This window comes from Homo sapiens, chromosome 4 (assembly GCF_000001405.40).
Source record: "Homo sapiens chromosome 4, GRCh38.p14 Primary Assembly".
Classification (NCBI taxonomy): Eukaryota; Metazoa; Chordata; class Mammalia; order Primates; family Hominidae; genus Homo; species Homo sapiens.
Genome location: NC_000004.12, coordinates 8082236 through 8103123, shown reverse-complemented (window position 1 = coordinate 8103123; position 20888 = coordinate 8082236). Strand labels below are relative to the sequence as shown.

At 51.1% G+C, this 20888-nt stretch overlaps 1 protein-coding gene across 50 annotated transcripts in view, besides 2 other annotated features; it reads left to right on the top strand.

Annotated features, from left to right (window-relative positions):
* Positions 1-20888, top strand: part of ABLIM2 (actin binding LIM protein family member 2) — a 193487-nt gene that overhangs the window by 55690 nt on the left and 116909 nt on the right. For all 50 annotated transcript variants that reach the window (NM_001130086.2, NM_032432.5, NM_001130085.2 and 47 more), the window contains exons 3-4: positions 5842-6025; positions 14840-14955. In NM_001130086.2, coding sequence (NP_001123558.1) covers positions 5842-6025; positions 14840-14955 — 300 coding nt within the window. The remainder of the gene's footprint in view (positions 1-5841; positions 6026-14839; positions 14956-20888) is intronic.
* Positions 5352-6071: an enhancer, noted in NCBI's record as "H3K27ac-H3K4me1 hESC enhancer chr4:8098780-8099499 (GRCh37/hg19 assembly coordinates)". NCBI's record gives its function as "activates a minimal SCP1, AML or CMV promoter by ChIP-STARR-seq in naive H9 embryonic stem cells {active_cell/tissue: H9 hESC(naive)}" and the evidence as "EXISTENCE:reporter gene assay evidence [ECO:0000049][PMID:30033119]".
* Positions 16963-17871: an enhancer, noted in NCBI's record as "H3K27ac-H3K4me1 hESC enhancer chr4:8086980-8087888 (GRCh37/hg19 assembly coordinates)". NCBI's record gives its function as "activates a minimal SCP1, AML or CMV promoter by ChIP-STARR-seq in naive H9 embryonic stem cells {active_cell/tissue: H9 hESC(naive)}" and the evidence as "EXISTENCE:reporter gene assay evidence [ECO:0000049][PMID:30033119]".

Sequence of the window (20888 nt, the reverse complement as noted above, 5' to 3'; positions counted from 1 at the left end):
GATGGATGCCCAAATGTTCCCTCTCCCACACTGCACCCTGTGCGTGTCAGCAGTGCCTCTCCTCATGGTCTCAGATGGCTGCCGTTGCTCCAACATCACGTTCTCACCGCATGGCATGCAGCCTGGAGATGTGCACAGGCAAAGCCTGTCTCCTCGCATAACCCTCCCTCTCATTAGGGAGGAGAACCCTTTCCTGAAGTCCCCATAGACTCCCCATATGACTCATTGGCCAGAACTCGGTCACACGTTCACCCCCACCGGCAAAGAGGAACGGGGGGCTCGTGGCTGACTTAGCCCAATCATGGCCGTCCTCAGGTGGGCACATTACCAGTTGAGCCAAAGCAGGATCTGTTAGCAGGGAAGACAATTCAAGAGCTCCTACTGTGTTGGGTTCCCACTACCCAGGCACTTACTTGTGCCTCAGTTTACCTGGGAAAATCTGTGAAATCATATGATTATCCTCTTGTCCGTGGCTGCCCCAGGCTTGGGCATTCGAATTCCACCTCTGCCACCCACAGCTCATGTGGATCTTAGGCAGGTGTCTCAACCCAGTTTTTCTAAGTAAAAGTCATTCAATAACTATTTATTGAGCACCTACTATGTGCCAGGCACTGTTCAGGGTATTTGGGAGATAGCCATGAACAAGACAGACATCCCGTTATGGGGATGGGGACCAGGTCTAATGCAAGGAGACAGATAATAAACATGATAAAGAATAAATAAGCAAATTTCATCATGTGCTAGAAAGTGAGCCCTGCTAGGGAAGGAAAGATGCAAACTGGGTGGTCAGGCTGGGCCTCACGGAGGAGGTGACCTTTGGGCAAAGCCTGGTGGAAGGAGGTGAGGAAGTTAATGAGGGAAGAGCATTCCCACCAGAGGGAACAGCCAGTGCAGAGACCCGGAAGCAGGCAGGCTTGGGAAACAGCAGGAGGCCCATGTGGCTGAAGCAGAATGACCAAGGGGATTAGGGAGATAGAGCCTCTACATCCCTGCAAAGACCGTGGCTTTGACACTAGCAAGGAAACACAGAGGAGGGTCCTGCTCCATCCTTGTAGGTTTCCATGGATCTCTGGGTGCTTGCTTGTGCAGGGAGGCCAGGGTGGGAGTCGGGAGGAGGCTAGAGGCAGGTGCGGGCACCTAGGCTGGAGCCAATGGCGGCTGGGATGAGGGGTGTGAAGGTGTCTCATTCTGGATGTCTTTGAGATCCAGCTGGCTCTGTCCTTACTCTACAAATGGGAATACATGCAGAACATAAATACGTCAAACGCATAGCACAGAATGCCTGGAAAAACAAATCTGGTTTACTTGGCCTTCAAAGGGTGGCTGAGCTCTGTGCTTTGGGAATATGTTTTAACTGTGATGTGTTGTTAATGCAATGATGAAAAGATGAGGCCACACCCATGTGTGCCCTCGGGAGAGCGGGCATTTTCTGGTCCTATTGGAAGTGGAACTGAGCAAGTCCACAATGTTAGCAAGAGCCAAGAAAACAGGCAGGGAGGGAAGGACGTGTGTCCGGGAGGAGAGCCCGTGAGCTGCGCATGTAAGGCAGGTGGAGTTGTCCCTGAGGATGCATCCATCTGGGACTATAAATAGCCGCCTGTTCTAGGCGGTCTGGGAGGAATGAAGGAATGGTGCAAGATGCCTGCACACGTGCTTCCTGGGCGTTCCAGGCGTTTATGAGAAACAGCCCTGGGCCTCCAGCATCAAAGGGAAGCTCTAGACAGGTGGGCCTTGGCCCTGGCCCAGGGCACTCCTTGTTCCGCACAGCCTAAGCCGCACAGGGCACGAGTGTCAAGATCACATGGCAGAGTTGTGAAAGTCCCGGCAGGAGGAATCTCAGATGACGTCTGCCTCATCCCCCTGTTATTCACAGAAGGGGATCCTGAGCCGGGCTGGGCCAAGACTCGGAGCTGCGATGCCCGGCCAGCCCTGGAGCCCTCGCCCAGGTTAAGGCTCACTCAGGCCCCTGGGGTTCTCTGTTTTCTTGTGTTTTGATGTGAATTGGCATCTCCGTCTTCCACTCACCAATATAGAAAAATAGCAGCGGGTGGACAGCACCTTGGGTGGTCCCTGTTCCCATCTGGGTGTATATTCCTCCCAGCTTTCCCCTGGTCTGAGTCTCTTTAAAATGTGAAGGCATGCCGTATACCTGATTCGTTCGCTTCAATTTAGTGTGTGGGCACTTTCCTCACCATGCAGATTCCTCACATTCATGTCAATATCCTCCCAAATTCCTTCCAATGCATGCCCCACAGTAAATGTAGTCGTCACTCTTGCACTGTTGGATGTCAACATCATTTCCAGGCAGACACTGGGCTAATCAGCTTGTTAGACCTCATCTCATTGATTTCTTTTTTTTTTTTTTTTTTTTTTTCCTGAGATGGAGTTTCATTCTTGTTGCCCAGGCTGGAGTGCAGTGGCGCGATCTTGGCTCACCGCAATCTCCGCCTTCCAGGTTCAAGTGATTCTCCTGCCGCAGCCTCCCGAGTAGCTGGGATTATAGGCATGCACCACCACACCCAGCTAGTTTTGCATTTTTAGTGGAGTCGAGGTTCCTCCATGTTGGTCAGGCTAGTCTCGAACTCCTGACCTCAGGTGATCCGCCCCCCTCAGCCTCCCAAAGTGCTGGTATTTCAGGTGTGAGCCACCGCACCCTGCCTTCATCTCACTGATTTCTTACAGCCACCATGCAAGATCAGTATTGCTAACTCTATTTTACACATGAGGACTCTGAGGTTCAGAGAGGGTAAGTAACTTGGTCAAGGTCACACAGCTGGGAAGTGGAAGAAGCAAGGACTCAAGCCCAGGCTGCCTGACTCTAAAGCCCAGGCATCTATTTACAACATTTTACTGTACCCATAATGCAGGGAACATTGTTGCAACTGAATTTCTGTGACAGTCATGGTCATTTCCTTGGGACAATCCCAGGAGAGGGACTGCTGGGTCAAAGGGCGGGAAAAGTTTTCACATTCCTTAGAGTCAGTGCCAAATGATATTCCAGAAAGTGATGTTGATTCATCTTTTCCCCCCAGCCGCCACCCTCTCCTGCCTGTTTCTCGTAAATGAACACAGCGTGTGCCCAAAGGATGGTGCTCCCATCACCCCCACCTGCCCTGCCTCCTGCCAGTGTCTGTGCTAGTTTGATAAATTGCAAAATGCAATATAAGAACAATGTGTTGTCTCCATAAGGATTTCTAAAATGACCAGGGAACTTGAACATTTTATTTTTAGCACACAGAGGCCTGGGGTTTTTGTTGTTGCTGTTTTGTTTTTTGTTTTGAGATGGAGTCTCACTCTGTCACCCAGGCTGGAGTGCAGTGGCGCGATCTCGGATCACTGCAAGCTCCGCCTCCCAGGTTCATGCCATCCTCCTGCCTCAGCCTCCCGAGTAGCCAGGACTACAGGCGCCCGCCACCACGCCCGGATAATTTTTTGTATTTTTAGTAGAGACGGGGTTTCACCATGTTAGCCAGGATGGTCTCGATCTCCTGACCTCGTGATCTGCCTGCCTCAGCCTCCCAAAGTGTTGGGATTACGGGTGTGAGCCACCGTGCCCAGTCAGAGGTCTGGGTTTTAACCACCTTGTGGTGACCTTGGCATACTCAGGACAGCTAGAATCTGACCAGCAACCTCCCAGATAACGGCTGGGGCTGGACATGCTCACTTGCCTGGTGCTCCCGGGAGTGGACTCACAGCACTGGAGTGGGGCACCAGAACCACTGCCACATGTTTCTCCTTCAAGGAACAGCTCACGCCGTCACGTCTTTAAGAAGAATAGAGAAATACAGAAATGCCAGAGCCATGAGTGCTGTGAGCCCAGTCACCATCCAGCTACTGTCTTGGGGCAGGTGGCGCTGACATCAGAATACTATAATGCTCCAAAGTGAGGCCCCCAAGTCTCTGCTTCTCCCCAGTTGGGATGTATTTGCTTGGTCTACGCTATGGTGCAAGATCGGACAAAGCATTTTCATCCTCAGCCCAGGTTTCCTTCTGGATTTTCATGAGCCAGAGCATGGAGTGCAGAGCAAGGGCACCCTGGCCCAGGGCTGAGGCCCACCTGTCTGGAGCTTCCCTTTGATGCTGGGAGTCCTTGGCTGTTTCTCATAAACGCCCCGGAACGCCCAGGAGGAGCGAGTGCAGGCATCTTATACCATGCCCTCATCCCTCCCAGACCATCTAGATGGGATTTCGTTCTGAGTTTTCATTTTTACCTTGAGACAGAATTCAGAATCAGCATCTCTGGCCTTGGGCCTCTTAGGAGCAGCCATTAGAGCAGCAGCCAGGGCCTCGACACTGAGCCAGGCAGGACTCAGGTCTCACATCGCACTGGCTCACGGGATGCTCATCTGTGCTGCCGTGTACCCCTCTGAAGTAGGTTCTGTGTGCTAGATGAGGACAAGGAGGCCCAGAGAGGTTAAGGAACTTGCCCAGGGACACACAGCACACTACGCGGGTAGAGCTGGGATTCGAATCCCGGCAGCTCCGGCATCTGGAATCTAAGCTGCTCGGTTGACGTCTCACCATATCAGAAGAGCTAACATCTCTTTGGAGAAATGGAGACAAGTAAACCCTGGAATGTAGGCGTTCCAGCCACTCTGGTGCTTCCAGCCAGTTTGTTCCCAGAGCTCTGTTGGGGGTTTTGTAGGCAAATGTTGAGGGTCTTGCTTTGGCCTCGATATCCCACTGGATGCCCTCAAAGGAATGATGTAACAGTTAACTTTAAAGGTGCCCATATTCACAATGTGCAGAAACGACGTCCTTTGCAAGCAATTAACATTGTGATGAAAACTTTTAGATGTCAGGTTTAAAATGTATGAGGGCTACATGGTTTCTCAAAGCCCTTCCTTGGTGGCTGTAAGCTGCATTGACCCAGCAGGCAGGACCCAGGACTGACCAGGCCAGAGGGGCTGGGGCTGCAGGGGGTTCCTCTGTGACTCTAGCAGGGAGGGCCTGGGCCAGCTGGGTCAGGGGAGGCTGTGGGCTGCTCCCTCTGAAACCATGCATGGCCTGGGCACTGGAGGGGAAGCTTGTGGGAGGAATGCGATCGGGTCTCAGGACATGGACTGGGGGCCTCTGAGCTGGTGGTGACCAGCAAGTTGTCCTGAGGGCGAGTGTTCCCTTCCCTACCTGGCAGAGATCCCTCAGCCCTCCATGGAGCTCCAGGGCTTCAGCTTCCTGGGCCGGGTGTGTGTTGGGAAAAGAGACAAAGTGCTTCCCTTTCAGGAGTCCACAGGCTCTCTCCTCCTGCAGGTCTGGCCTTGTTCACACTGTGGGGAGACAGGCGTCGAGGGCCATGAGGGCATGGAGACCCAGAGGAGTGGGGGAGGGGGTGGGAAGCCTAGAGGTGGGCTGGAGGCACCGACCACAAGGACCTGGTCTGTCCTCCTGGGAACCTTCGGCCCCCAGCACAGAGTCTAGCACACAGTAGGTGATCAGGCATTAGCCCCTTCCTGATCTGTATGCCCAGTGCTGGAAACAGCCCACTGGAGGACAGCAGGGGCTCAGGGACCATCCCTGGCGGGGTCACAGAGGCTGGGGGCACTCTAGCGAGGGTGGGAGGCTGGGCAGCCCCTCAAGAGAGCCTGGCTCTTGTCCCGGTCAGTGCCCTTTCCCAAGCTTCTGTAAGGAAAGTCCACTCACCACCAGGCCAGGGGCCAGAGCTGGAGTCTGTCCCAGGAGCCCGGCCCGCCGAGAGTTGAGCAAGCCACCCCAAGTGTGTGCCGAGGCCTCAGTGCCTGTGTCAGGTGGTGGTGTGTGTGTGGAGGGGGGTGCACCTCGGGCCTGGGGGACGTGGAGATGGTCCCCTCTGCCGCTAACGCCACCTCGCCCGTCCTCCCCCAGCATGTGGCTGCGACCTGGCCGAGGGCGGCTTCTTCGTGCGGCAGGGCGAGTACATCTGCACGCTGGACTACCAGAGGCTCTACGGCACCCGCTGCTTCAGCTGCGACCAGTTCATTGAGGGTGAGGTGGTGTCGGCGCTGGGCAAGACCTACCACCCCGACTGCTTCGTGTGTGCCGTCTGCCGGTGAGTAAGTGGGCACCTGGCCTCTGCTTCCCCTGCCTCTCTGGGCCTTTTCTCCTTCCCTCCCTCCCTTCCCTTCTTCCTCCTGCTCCCTCCCGTGACCCGCCCTCTGCATCCTGCAGCGAGGCTGTTCCAGGCCCCACAGTCTGCACCCTTCTGTCTTGGTGCATACAGAGGCCTCCTCACAGGGAGCTCCGTGAGGGCAGGGGTGGGCTGCCCCGCTTTGGGTCTGGTGCATGGCACAGAGCAAGCATGCAGCAAGTGCTGGCTGCGGAGACTGGGTCCTCATCCCGGCAACAGGACTGCACCGGCCCCGCTCCGCCTGCACCTCCTGGGGCTGAGCAGGAGCCTTCCTACGTGGTCCCTGCCTCCCCCTTCCCTCCCCAGCCCCTGACTCGTTCCTCCCAGAGGAAATGTTCTGTTTCTAGAAAACAAAGAAGAGAAACATGAAAAACAGTTTGTTTTCTGTTCTGTACTCCCTGTCTCACCACACCGTGTTTGCAGGGGACGTTTTCAATGTTGTTTCCAAAGCAGTTCCCTGTGGTTACAGCGTGTGCCGGAGACAGAAATGGAACCTTCGTCAGAGGATGCTAAGGACAGGAGGTGACGATGACAAGGAGTATGTCTAGGGAGAGTCGCTCTGTGTCATCGTAGCGTGACCTGAGTCAGACCTCTCTCTCCCAGGGATTATCCGAGTGTTTGATTTTTGTGTACGTGGCTTAGAGATGAGGGTTGACATCTCACAGTTGGTTTGAAAGATCGCCTCTGGTTAATCCATTATTTTAAAAAATAATAACAGACAGCCCTGGTCGCATTGGAGTCACTGGAGCTGGACTTGTCCAGCCACCATCAACAACTAGGAAACTGGACAAAATGTATGAAACAACCATTTCCAGACTCTGGAGCTCAGAACTAAGAGAAAGGAACAAGTTAAGCGAGGCGAGGCCTGTGATTGCCCCAGCTTCCTTCCTGGAGGCAGTTTCCGGAAGGATAGCGTGGGGTTGGGGGAGAGACCCAAGGGGAGCGTGGCATCGTCCTGAGGCAGGAGACAGTGACTAGAAAGGCAGGCACAGCTGGAACATGTTGGGCAGAATACCAGAGGGGCAGGGGCACCACAGAGCAAGAGCGCCGAACTGCACAGGTACCTTGGAGTCTTTGACCAAATATGAAGCCCTGTAGTCGCAGAGGAATTTCACACAGTGGGGCAGAGAATGACCAGGTTGCTGCAAGCGAAACAATTCCTGGATTTGGGAAACATCTGAGTCCTGTCCAGGGCAGAGATTCCTCGTCGAACCCCAGGGCATGCAGTGTGGACACCAAAAGGTCGCGTCTCATCCAGAAGACAAAACAGCCCTAGAGCGAAGGCTACAGTGAACCTGCTCTACCAAAGCACAAAACGAGCCTCAGGAAGATCATGCTGGCTGGGCGCGGAGGCTCACACCCGTAATCCAGCACCTCGGGAGGCCAAGGTAGGAGGATCGCTTGAGACCAGGAACTGGAGACCAGCTTGGGAAACATAAAGAGACCCCATCTCTATTTTTTAATTAATTATTTTTTAAAAAAGATCATGTTGATCTGCAAATAAACTGTCTGCCAGAGCAAAGCCCAACACTTTTCACAAGAAGATTTTTAAAAATCCAGCATTCAACAACGTAAAATTTATAAGTGTTCAGTGTCCAATCAAAACTTGCTGGTGATGGCTGGGCACAGCAGCTCATGCCTATAATCCCTCCACTTTGGGAGGCCGAGGTGCGAGGATCACTTGAGGCTGGGAGTTCAAGATCAGCCTGCGTGACATAGCAAGACCCTGTCTCTACAAAAAATTTAAAAATTAGTCTGGCATGGTGGTGCATGCCTGTAGTCCCAGCTATGTGAGAGGCTGAGATGGGAGGATTGCTTGGGCCCAGGATTTTGAGGCTGCAGTGAGCTATGATTGCACCACTGCTCTCCAGCCTGGGTAACAGAGCAAGACCCTGTAGAAAGAAAAGAAAGAAAAGGAAAGAGAAAGAAAGAAAGAGAGAGAGAGAGAAAGAAAGAAAGAGAAAGAAAGAAAGAAGGAAGGAAGGAAAGAAGTGGGGGGAGAGAGAGAGAGAAAGAAAGAAAAAGGAAAAGAAAGAGAAAGAAAGGGAGGGAAGGAGGGAGGGAAAGGAAGGGAGGAAAGGAAGAAAGGGAGGGAGGGAGGGAAGAGAGGGAGGGAGGGAAGGAATTACTAGTTGTATTAGGTTGTTGCAAAAGTAATTGTGGGTTTTGTCATTAAAAGTAATAGTAAAAATCAGCAACCTAATAAAAGGAAACTAGAAAATGTGACCCAAAGCCAGAAGAAAAGTCAGTAGCAATAAGGGAGGAGACCACCCCTCATATTGTCTTATGCCCAATTTCTGCCTCCAAAGAAAGAAGAAGTAAAACCTAAAAGGCAGAAATGAAATACACGGGCAGACAGCCCGGCACCACACCCTGGGCCTGGTAGTTAAAGATCGACCCCTGACCTAATCAGTTATGTTATCTGTAGATTCCAGATATTGTATAGAAAAGCACTGTGAAAATCCCTGTCCTGTTCTGTTCCTGTCTGATTACCGGTGCATGCAGCCCCCAGTCACGTATACCCTGCTTGCTCGATCGATCACGACCTTCTCATGCAGACCCCCTTAGAGTTGTGAGCCCTTAAAAGGGACAGGAATTGCGCACTTGGAGAGCTCAGTTGTTGGAGACGTGAGTCTTGCCGAAGCTCCTGGCTGAATAAAGACCTTCCTTCTTTAACTCGGTGTTTGAGGAGTTTTGTCTGTGGCTTGTCCTGCTGCAGCAATAGGCCCAGAAATGACAGGAATGGTGAAATGAGCAAATAATGACTTTAAAATAGCTACTGTAAATATGTTTAAGTATTTTAAGGAAATATGAACATAATAGGAGAGTTATGGAAGATATAAAAAGAAACCACTGGTACTTGTAGAAATGAAAAATACAATGGCCGAAGTGGAAAATCTCCTGAAAGGAATTAGCAGTAGATTGGGTATTTTGGAAGAAAATATCAGTAAACTTGAAGACACAGCATTAAAAAGAATTCAAACTTAAGCAGAGAGACAAAAAAACTGAAAAACACAAAAAGCACCTCAGGGATCTGTGGATGTAGATCTATTTCTCTATCTAGGTGGATAAGGGAGACCAACAAGTGTTTAAGGAAGTAATTGCTGAACATTTTGCAAATTTGGTGAAAACTATAAACAAATGAATCCAAGTATTTCAATGAACTTCAAGCAGAATAAACACATCAGAATCTACCAAATCTATCCTAATCAAATTGCTGAAAACCAGTGCTAAAAAGAAATCTTAAAAGCAGCCAGACGAACAAAAATTATTTACAGAGGAACAAATGTATGACTCCAGACTTCTCATCAGAAACTATGTATGCTAGGAGACAATAGAACAACATTTCTTAAATGCTGAGAAAAATATCTATCAAATAATTCTAGACTAAGCACAAAAAACTTCCAAAAATGAAGGCAAGACTGCTAAAGGGTATGGGATTTCTTTTGTGGGTGATAAGATTGTTCTAAAATTGATTATGGTGATAGTTGCACAACTCTGAATATGCTAAAAGCTGCTGGATTGTACATTACATTGTATGTGAATAAAGTGTCAAAACTGTTACTGAGAAACGAAGGCACGATAAAGACTTTTTTAGACACGCAAAGCTAAGAGAATTTGTTGCCAGCCAATCTGCACCAAAATAAACTTACAGGAAGTTTTGTGGGCTGAAGGAAACGCAAAATGAGAAACTGCAAAAGCAAGCCATCAGCTGGCAGAGAGTGCCATGTTAGATATGAGTTCAAGGTTGCACCCTCACACCTGTGTCTGATGAAGCGCTGCTCTACAAAATATTGATTATTTACAAAATATTGATTATTCACAACTCAATAATAATAAGACCCAAAATACTGTTAAAAATGGGCAAAAGAGACTGGGTGCGGTGGCTCACGCCTGTAATCCCAGCACTTTGGGAGGCTGAGCCGGGTAGATCACTTGAGCTCAGGAGTTTGAGACCAGCCTGGCCAACGTGGTGAAACCCTGTCTCTACTAAAAATACAAAAATGAGCCAGGCGTGGTGGTGGGCGCCTGTAATCCCAGCTACTTGGAAGGCCGAGGCAGGAGAATCTCTTGAACCCAGGAAGTGGAGGTTGCAGAGAGCCAAGATCACGCCACTGCACTCCAGCCTGGGTGACAGAGGGAGCCTCCATCTCAAAAAAACTTTTAAAAAAATGGACAAAAGAGTTTAATAGAGATGACTATAAACCAAAAAGAGATTGAGGCAGGGCTCAATCAACAGAGGTTTATTTAGCCAAGGTTGAGGATGTGCCTGGGGTCAAACGCAAGCCGCAGGAGCACTTGTGAGCTGTGCTTTTTCCAAAGGGGGTTTGGGACACTTCAGTGTTTAAGGGGGAAAGAGCAAGAAGGAGAGAAAAAAGGGGAGGAGGAGGAGGACCATGAGGCAGATAGCTACAGTCTTTATAGTTACATCTCATATGCTAATCAGAGCCTCAGTAAATCTATGTTTTACATGTGAAAAGAGGGAGTCCAGGAAACAGTTAAGACTAACCCTCTGTAAATCTACATTTTACATTTGTCATACGCCATTCTGTTTTACATTTTACATGTGACATGGGGTTGTGAAACTACAGTTCTCTGGAAACAAAAGGAAAGCAGTTTTTGCATGATTCCGTTCCCAGCTTAACTTTCCCTTTGGCATAGTGAGTTTGGGGTCCTGAGATTCTATTGTCTTTCACACTTCACTAAAGAACATATACAAATGGGCCAGGTGTGGTGACTCACGCCTGTAATCCCAGCACTTTGGGAGGCTGAGGTGGGCAGATTGCTTGAGGTCAGGAGTTCGAGACCAGCCCGGCTAACATGGTGAAACCCCATCTCTACTAAAAATATAAAAATTAGCCAGGTGTAGTGGCAGGCACCTGTAATCTCAGCTACTCAGGAGGCTGAGGCAGGAGGATCACTTGAACCCAGGAGGCAGAGGTTGCAGTGAGCCAACATTGTGCCAGTGCACTCCAGCCTGGGTGACAGAGCAAGACTCTGTCTCAAAAAATATATATATATTATATTATATATTATAATATATATAAAAATATGTATTCTATATTATAATATGTATTATATATTATAATATACATTATATATTATAACAATATATTATATATATTATGTTATATATTATAATATATATTGTATATATAATATATTGTATAAATAATATATTATATTATTTATATAATATATTATATAATATATAATATATTAATTCTATAATTATTAATATATAAATGCATAATAAATATATAATATTAATATATAATACATATTAATATAATATATATTATATAATTATATTATGTATATTATATAATATATAATTATATATAATTTTATATAATATATAATTATATAATATATAAAATTATATATATAATTTTATATAAAATTATACATAATATATATAATTATATATATAATTTTATATAAAATTATATATAATATATATAATTATAAATATTATATATAATTTTATATATAATATATATTTTATATTTTATACAAAATATATAAAATATAAAATATTATATATTATATATAATTATATAATTATATATAATACATAATTAATTATATATAATATATAATATATAATTATATATTACATATAATTATATATAATATAATTATATGTAATATAATATATATATAATTATATATATATTATATATATAATATATATATAATTATATATATATAATATAATATATAATATTATATATAATTATATATATACACACAAATGACCAACAGCATACATGAAACAGTGTTTACCATCATTAGTCACAGGGGTATGCAAATGAAAACTACAAAGAAATGCCATTACGCCTCCATGAGAACGACTAAAACTGAAAAGATGGACCATGGCAAGTGCTGGTGAGGATGTGAAGCCAGAGGAGTGTCCCTCCAGTGCCGTTGTGAATGCAGAATGGCACAACGGCCATGGAAACCGGCTTGGCAGTTTCTGATAAAGTTAAACACACACTTAGCATATGATCAGAAAATCCATCTTCTGTATTCACCCAAAAGGAAAGCTTGTGTCCGCGGAGAGGCTGGTTGGCAACCGTGCTTAACAGCTTTATTTGTAACAGTCCCAAACTGGAAACAGCCCAGAAGCCCCCAGCAGTTGCATGGAATGGCTGTTGTGATTTATCCATGGGATGGACACTGCTCCGTCCTCAAAGGAACAAAGGATCGATATTGGCAAATAGCATGAGTGGACCTGAAAAACGCGAGGCTGACAAAACACCAAAGACTATGTGCTCTGTGATCCCGCAAAAAAATAAAAATAAAAAAAAAGACAAATCTAATGCACGGTGACAGTGACAATCACAGTGTCTGGGGCCATGGTGACAATGATGATCACGGTGCCTGGGGCCAGAGGTCGTGAGCAGCATGATTGTAGACAGCCACAGGGGGCTTTTTGCAGTGGAAAGAATGTTCCATATCATGACTGTGGTGGTGGCAGTTATATGGGTGTGTACATTTGTCACAAGGTACCTCAATAAAGTTGAGGAAATACAATCATAGCTGCCATTGAGTCAGCCCCTCCCAGGTCCAGGCAATAAGCCAGAGCTTCCTAGGCAGGATGTCCTGTGGGCGAATGAATGTATGAATACAAACCTGGAATGCAGGCATTCTCAGTCCTACTTTATAGGTGGGAAGTGTTTCAGAGAGGCTGAGTAGCTTGTTCCAGGTTAAACAGCCAGAGATTCGCTCCAAGCACATCCAGGGATGGGGAGGGGCTCCCACTCTGTCTCAAGATCCCCCATGACAGGGAGGGTGCAAGACACGGAGACCCAGGTGGCAGCAGACCATAGCATTGACACGGTGGCAACACGGGCATGGGAGAGCCGTGCAGGCTCCTGGGCAGTGGATGGGAGGGGAGGGCCCTGGGTTCAGCTCAGCCTGTATTTGTCCTGGATCCCCAGAAGGTACTGGCCCAGTGGGAACCCAGGAACACACCTGCTGCATGGACCGAGGGTACTGGATGCCAGCCCCACAGGTGGGTGCTCTGGCAGGCCTTCAGCAGGGGAAGGCACGGTGGTCTCCAGCTTCAGGGAGCTCCATCTGGCAGGCCCTGGTGGGAGGCCAGGCAGGGACTTGGCAGGAGAGAGTAGACCAAGCGTGGCCCCCTAGGAGAGCTTCAGTCCTTCACTTATTCACCCATTCATTCATTCAACAATGAATGCATTGTCTCCTCCCTGAAGAAGACAGACAGAACCCAACAAAGGTGTTTGAGCAGGGGCTTTTTTTTTTTTTTTTTTTTTTTGATATGAATCTCACTCTTTGGCCCAGCCTGGAGTGCAGTGGTGCAATCTCGGCTCACTGCAACCTCCACCTCCCAGTTCAAGCGATTGTCCTGCCTCACCCTCTCAAGTAGCTGGGATTACAAGTGCACACCACCATGCATGGCTAATTTTTGTGTTTTTAGTAGAGACCAGGTTTCACCACACTGGCCAGGCTGGTCTCAAACTCCTGACCTCAAGTGATCCTCCCACCTCAGCCTCCCAAAGTGCTGGGATTACAAGTGTGAGCCACTGCGCCTGGCCACACAGGGGATTTAAGGGGCACCCGTGGTCTGACACTTCCACGGGCTTCTGCCTGAAAAGCACCTGGTTCTCTGGCCAGGCTCAGATGGGGAAGGAAAGTGGCCCGGTGGCTGCTGGGAGCTTGATGGCAGCAGGTGTCGAGGGCAGACATGGCAGCATTCTCAGGCTGTGCTTCTGGCCCTGTCTGCAGGTGGCCTGGCCTTAGCTTGCTAGATGCAGCTACTTGAGCCATCCCTCAGTTTCCAAAGACATCCCCGGACTGCAGGAGGATGGGCCAGCTCTCTGCGGTCCCTCACCTGGCCTCACTCCAGGCACTTGCTGCGGAGGCGGACTTTAAGGTGGTGCCAAAAAACTCAGTAGTCAAGTAAATGATATTTTAATGCGATACTTTAAAAAATTGAAATAAATGCAAAAAATCCATTTAGAGCAAAATGGCAGAATTTTAAATAAAGACAGGATCCGATTGTCCAGCATCTTCCTGTCTACGAGGTGTGCTTTTATAGACACTGCCCTCTTAGAGGCCCAGGTAGTTAAATCGTGGAACTTTGAAGCCAGACAGGTCTTGGTTTGATTCTGGTTCTGACTCGTATCCATGTGTCCTTGGAAAAGTTACATATCCTCTCTGAACTCCAGTTTCTCACCTATAGAGAAAACATGAAGCAAATACCAACTAGGTTGAATGGCGTGGGGTTACTCATGAGGCATGCCTATAGGGCACCTATCACAGTAGTGGGCCCTGGGCACACAGGAGATGCCCAGTGTACATAGCTGCTGTCCTTGCTGCTGAGCTGATATGAAGAAAGCATCCCATGTGACTGGGAAGGCAGGGTGGGCTGGAGGGGCCGGTGGCCCAGGCAGCCTGGCATGTTGCCATGTGCCAAGCACTGGGCTGGCCCTCAGCTGGTCCTCACCACCACCTTAGGTGCTATGATTCTGCCTGTTGGTACAGATGAGGAAACTGAGGCTCAGGTGTCGATGACTACCTGAGGTCCTATTGCGGGGACGCAGCAGTGCCTGGGTGGAGAGGCCCTGCATTTCCTCAGCCTGTGAGTGGTACCTTTGCAAGATCCTGGGGAGACATTGGCCCTGGTCTCCTGCACTGGGACAGGGCTCCCCCAGAGAGGAGCCAGAAGGTGGGCCTGGCTGGTAACGAGCTCTCTTGTTTCAGGCTGCCCTTCCCCCCCGGGGACCGAGTGACCTTCAACGGGAAGGAATGCATGTGCCAGAAGTGTTCCCTGCCCGTATCGGTGGGCAGCAGCGCGCACCTGTCCCAGGGCCTCCGAAGTAAGTGGGCGCTGAGTGGGGGCATGTTGAGTGGGGGCATGCTGAGTGGGGGGTGCTAAATGGGTGGGTATGCTGAGTTGGGGGGCGCTGAGTGGGGCGTACTGAGTGGGAGGTGCTGGGGGGCGCTGAGTGGGGGCGGTGCTGAGTATAGGGCATGCTAAGTGGGGGCTTGCTGGTTGTGGGGGGGGTGCTGAGTTGGGGGCTTGGTCTCTGCAGTGCCCAGGGACAGAGCCTGAGAAACGGGGACCCAGAGCAGCAGCAGCTGCAGTGAACGCTGTGAATAAATGTGAGGAGGCAGCCAGGGATGGAAGTTTCTGGGGCTCTCGTGCCGCCAAGTCTTTGCACTGGCTGTTTCCTCCACCCCATGTGCCACTCCTGCTTTCCCATCTAATGCCCACTGCTGCTTTCCCATCTAATGCCCACTGCTGCTTTCCCATCTAATGTCCACTGCTGCTTTCCCATCTAATGCCCACTGCTGCTTTCCCATCTAATGTCCACTGCTGCTTTTGCCCAGCTCTAGCATACCTCCTCCAGGAAGCCTTCCAGGTCTCCTTCAGGTCCTCTCCCTCTGGCATTCACTCCCCTCAGCTCCCCTCTGTTAATTCCAGGCCACCCGGGACCCCTTTGGGGGAACCTGTAGAGGAACACTGAGCTCCGGGCTCCCGCAGTCAGGGGCCCTTGGGTTCACTGCTCCACCTCCCAGGAGTTAGGCCAGGTGTGTATGCAGTGGGGGCTCAAGATGCTTCCTGAATTAGGAAGCAGGAGGTTGTTAGTGTGGAAAAAAAACAAATGCCAGCCGAAGTGTCAGGGGTTTGCAGGTGTGGGGCCAAGTATCAGCAAGGAGTGGGCAGCCAGGTGGCCTTTCCCAGCTGGGGTGGCTCTGCCGGATCATGAGATGGCACACAGGCTCTGGGAGGGAAGCCCAGCAAACCAGGCCCCGCCGCTGCCAGGCACCTGGTGCAGAAGCCCACTCTGAGCACCGTGGTCACTGGGGTGTCCCCAGACAGAGGAGGGGTTTCTCCTGATTTCTGGGGTCAACATCTTGCCCGCAATTAATTTCCTCTCCTGTGTCAAATGCCTCCTTTCTCCCCCACCTTGTCTGCTGCGTTGAGAGTCTCTACAGAGGCGATTCCACTTCCAGCCTCCCCGAGGTGCAGCACTGGCCCTGGGAGCTGGTTATAATTTGACTCTGTGAGCCAAAGCAAAGCCTTCATCCCTTGGGATGAAGTTCACAGCCCCACCGGGTCGGGAGGGCGCTGCTTCCGGGCTTGCTAGGAGAGTCCTCCATTCAAAAATTTCTCTCCAGCTGGGGCCTGGATTGACTGCTTTTTTTTTTTAATGTAAACGTGGTTTTATTTAATGCCTTTTATCTATCTTTGAGAATTTGGCTTCACAAACAGTAGTACTGTTATAATTAAATTCAGATAGTAATCAAAAGCTCTATGGCAAATTTTAAAAGGGGGAGATCAGTTTTGAACAGTTTGTCCACAGCTTCCTGGCAGCCAAATTAAAAAGGGAAACATGGGCTGGGTGTGGTGGCTCATGCCTGTAATCCCAGCACTTTGGGAGGCCGGGGCGGGTGGATCACCTGAGGCCAGGAGTCCGAGACCAGCCTGGACATGGTGAGGCCCTGTCTCTAATAAAAGTACAAAAATTAGCCTGGTGTGGTAGTGCCCACCTGTAGTCCCAGCTACTCAGGATGCCGAGGCAGGAGAATCGCTTGAACTTGGGAGGCAGAGATTGCAGTGAGCTGGGATTGCACCACTGCACTCCAGCCTGAGTGACAGAGTGAGAATGTCAAAAAAAAAAAAAAAAAAAAGTGGGAGGGGATGGAAATATGACCAACCACAGAATCACTGTCTGAGATTTTTTTTTTTTTTTTTTGAGGTTTTCAAAAATACCCTTGGCAGAAAGGCTGTGCCCTCTCCAAATGTAAATTTATTTTGAAATATCAAATTTGCATTTTCAAAGAACAAATGTTCCCCGGACCCCTAGATAACTAATAATGTAACCTGCCCCTTCCCCCAGCCTGTGGTGAGAATCCTGAGCTTAGAACCATTTCTGTGCCTAGAAAGCATTGAGCAGCAGTCCTGGTTCCTGCGTGGATGTCTGCAGTCTTCCCAGTCCAGCCTCCTTTAGTTTTCTCAGCAGCTGTGCCTGGAGGAGCTCTTCTGCAGGTGCAGGAGTGCCCTGTACCTGGCAGGGGTGGGTGTGCTGGGTGCTCTGTCCATCAGGGGGCGGAAGTGCCGAGGGGTGGGCCAAGGCCTTTCAACTCCAAAGCAAGTGAGCTCACCCCACTAGGACTAGAGGCTGTCCAAGGTGGCCTTGGTTCTGAAACTGGAGACGCAGGCTGAATTCCAGCAGGTGGGTCTGGAAGGGGGAGGATGCTACAGATGAGTACAAAGACTAAACACCTGTGAAATGTGCTGGGTGCACCCCCCAGACCCGCGTGAGTGGACGGGGCTGCAGCGTGGGCACCCCCAGACCCACGTGAGTGGACGGGGCTGCAGCGTGGGCACCCCCAGACCTGCGTGAGTGGACAGGGCTGCAGCGTGGGCACCCCCCAGACCCGCGTGAGTGGACGGGGCTGCAGCGTGGGCACCCCCAGAGCCATGTGAGTGGACGGGGCTGCAGCGTGGGCACCCCCAGAGCCGTGTGAGTGGACGGGACTGCAGCGTGGGCACCCCCAGACCCGTGTGAGTGGACGGGGCTGCAGCGTGGGGGCGGGGAATGGGAATGGCACTGAGACACCAACACCAGATGGCAGCTTCCTCCAAAGCCACGCCGTGGTGTTCTCGGTACATCTGGAGGCCGTGAGGAGCAATAGATGGTTGTGGAGTGGGGTAGAGTCAAGTCAGTCCAGAATGTAGGAAGCAGCACCGTCTGCCTGGCCAGCTTGCTGGGCCGGGGGGCAGCAGGGTGGGGCCTCACATGGCTGCCTGTGTGGCTGCCCCTCCCTGGGGAGGGGAGAGTGGCTGGCTCTTGAGGCAGAGCTCAAGCTTGAGTCCCGTGGCCCTGAGCTTCCCTCTGCTGCCCCAAGCAGGCCACTTAGGAACAAGAAATCCTTTAGGGTGGGCCGCACAGGCTTCTTCCAGAAGGAGCAGCGAACACCCCGCATGCCTCAGCTTCCCCACCACTCTCGTTGGGAGGTCCCCTGTGTCCCTGAAGCTCTGCCCCTTCCCGTGAGGCCCCCAGCTCTCCAGTGCTGACCCATTGCTGGTCACGAGCCTGTCACAGGGCGGCCGTCGCAGAGTGCGAGCGCCGTGCCGAACCAGAGGCAGCTCTGAGCCCAGATACCCTGGGTGGACCCTGCATTCACCACTGTGTGCCGAGGGCAAGAGGTGTCCCCTCTCTGGGCCTTTGATGTGGGTGTGGGGCCAGCAGGGGCGTGGGCGGCAGGCTGGCAATTGGGAAAAATGGGCTTGGCCTGGGGAAAAGGGATGGCAAGCAGCTCCATCCGTGCTGAGGAGACCCCACAGCCACTTCTTGGGCCTGGCCGCCCCTGGCTCTTTAGCTCCATCCCCTGGACCTGGGGAGGCCCCACCAGAGTGAGGGATGAAGAGGCAGGAAGGGATGTATGCAGTTCTAAGGTCCCAGGCCCAGGAATGGGGCTTTGGGGTCCTCCACTCTTCCAGCAACAGGGCTTGACCACCTGGGCTGTGGCACGTGGAGCCCCTGTGTCCTTTGCTCCTGCAAGGGTAGTGCTAAGAGGGTGGGTGCCCAAACCAGAGCCCCCGCCCCCTTGCTGGCTGCCTGGGAAACAGGAGAGCCTCGAGGTGAGGCCGGGGTTAAACCCAGGAGCTCCCACTGCTCCCGGGCTGCCTAGGAAACAGGAGAACCCCTGGGTGCGCCTGGGAGGTAAACCCAGGATCCTCGCAGGAGCCCCCGTCCCGCTCTGGGCCCATGGCAGGCCTGTCCCGGTCTAGTCCTGACCGCAGTGCGCTGGGGCCGAACTTGAACGTGTTTTATCTTTTCCAGCGGCTTTTCTTCCTCAGTACAGGTTCCTAAATGAAGCTGCAAGCCAAGTTCGTGGATTTTCAATCACTCTCAAGTTTTGGAGCTCGGTCAGAGTCCTTGTTTCCAAAACTCAGTCTCAGATTTGATCTAGAATCTGAGACTCCCCCCTACTCCCCTGACCCCCAGTTAGACCTGAGGTGCTGCAGAGGGGGTCTGGCTCCTGCACCTGCACCCCCTGAGCTCCAGCTGAGGCTCCAGGAGGCTGCCTGGCACATCCTAGCCACCCCCCAACAACCACCCCCACCATGACCACATCTTGTGGAAGAGGGAGCCTTTTGGGGAAAATAGGAAAGTGGAAGGTTCTAGGAGGGTTATGCCATTGCTGCTGATGGCAGTGCCAACCAGGATGTACGGGCACGTGGCCAGCTGACATTGGGGGGTCCTGGGGCCCCTTCTGCCCTGCTAGGGACATCCTGCCGCTGACAGCTCTAGTCCACAGCCTGTGTCACACAGGACTCTGAGCTGCCATGCGCAGAGCCCGCAAAGCAATGTGGAGCTCCGGATGTGTTTAGAAAGTGAGGATGTGGTTTCCATGGCAACGCTCCTTTTGCACCTTGCTCTCATCTCCACGTGTACTGCTGATAGGAGAATGAGGGGGCCGAGGCAGGTGTGAGGTTCACATCCCCTCTGCAGTTTGGAGCTCAAGGTCAAGGGAGCTTCTTGGCAGGGGAGGGCGCCGGCCAATATGGTAGGAGGCAGAGTGGCGGAGATGCCCATAAAGGCATCACAGAGGGAGCAGGCCACCCGTGAGGGGACCACCTGGCAACAACAGCAGTGGCAGTGAGAGCAGAGGTGGGCCCACCTCACCGGTCAACGTGTGTGCATTTATTCACGGATCACACGTGCCCTCATTCCAGGGGCACAGAGAGGTGAAGTGACTTCCCCAGGTCACAGCCGGTGGGGGGCATTGCTGGGATCTGACCGCTGCTGTCTGCTGTCTGTCCTCTGGTCGACACACAGCCCCATGTGCTGTGCTCCCTTGACATGCAGAGAAGCCAACAGAGGCTTGGAGCCGGGGATCTCAGCTCCAGCACCATTCACATGTGGGGCCAGAGAGCCCTGTTGAGGGCGGCTGTCCTGGCACGGTTAGCATCCTGTGTCCACTGCCCACTAGATGCCTGGAACCCCCTCCAAGTTATGACAATCAAAAGGGTCGCCAGACATTGCCAAATGTCTCTTGGGCAAAAGTGCCCCAAGTTGAGAGCCACTGATGCAGAGCTTTGCAAAATGTGCCTCATCACCTGCTAAGTGGGGGAAGCCAGGAGGCTAAGTCAGGGCTGTGCGTCGTCTGACTCTGCAGAGACACAGGAAGGAGCGCGGCAGATTGGGTGATGTGGGGGTCGCCTCCTGGACTTGAGAAGGGCGGAGGCATCCTCTCACTTTGGTTCCCATTCATTCATTCATTCATTCCCCACGTGTTTCTCAAGCCCACAGCCTCTGCTGGGCATCCAGGGTCCTGAAATGAGTAAGAGGCCCCCCTTTCCCTCAGAGTTTGAATCTGCTCTCTGGCTGTTTTCCAAAGTAGCATGTGAATGTGCACAGTGTGGTCACTTAGGAAATCCTGAGCTTGACCAACGGCTTTGTGAGTGTTCGTTTGTTTTAATTGTTAAAAACAATATGACTCAGGTCTCTGCCAAAAGAAACTAATGAAGCCACGCAGGGAAGCAGCCTCTGCTGAGCTCTCACCGCACAGCAGGCCCACAGGGGGTCTCGCCGATGCTCACTGTTCACCCGGGATGCGCAAGGCTTTGGGCCAGGTCTTCTGTGTAAATTAGCACTGGATCCGGGCAGGCACCAAGTGAGGAGGTGATCACCCCACCCCACGATGAGGAAATGGGGGCTCCCGCAGGAGGAATACGCTCAGTGTGACCCAGCGCATAGTGGGGGCCAGGATTTGTACCCAGCACGTCGGGCCC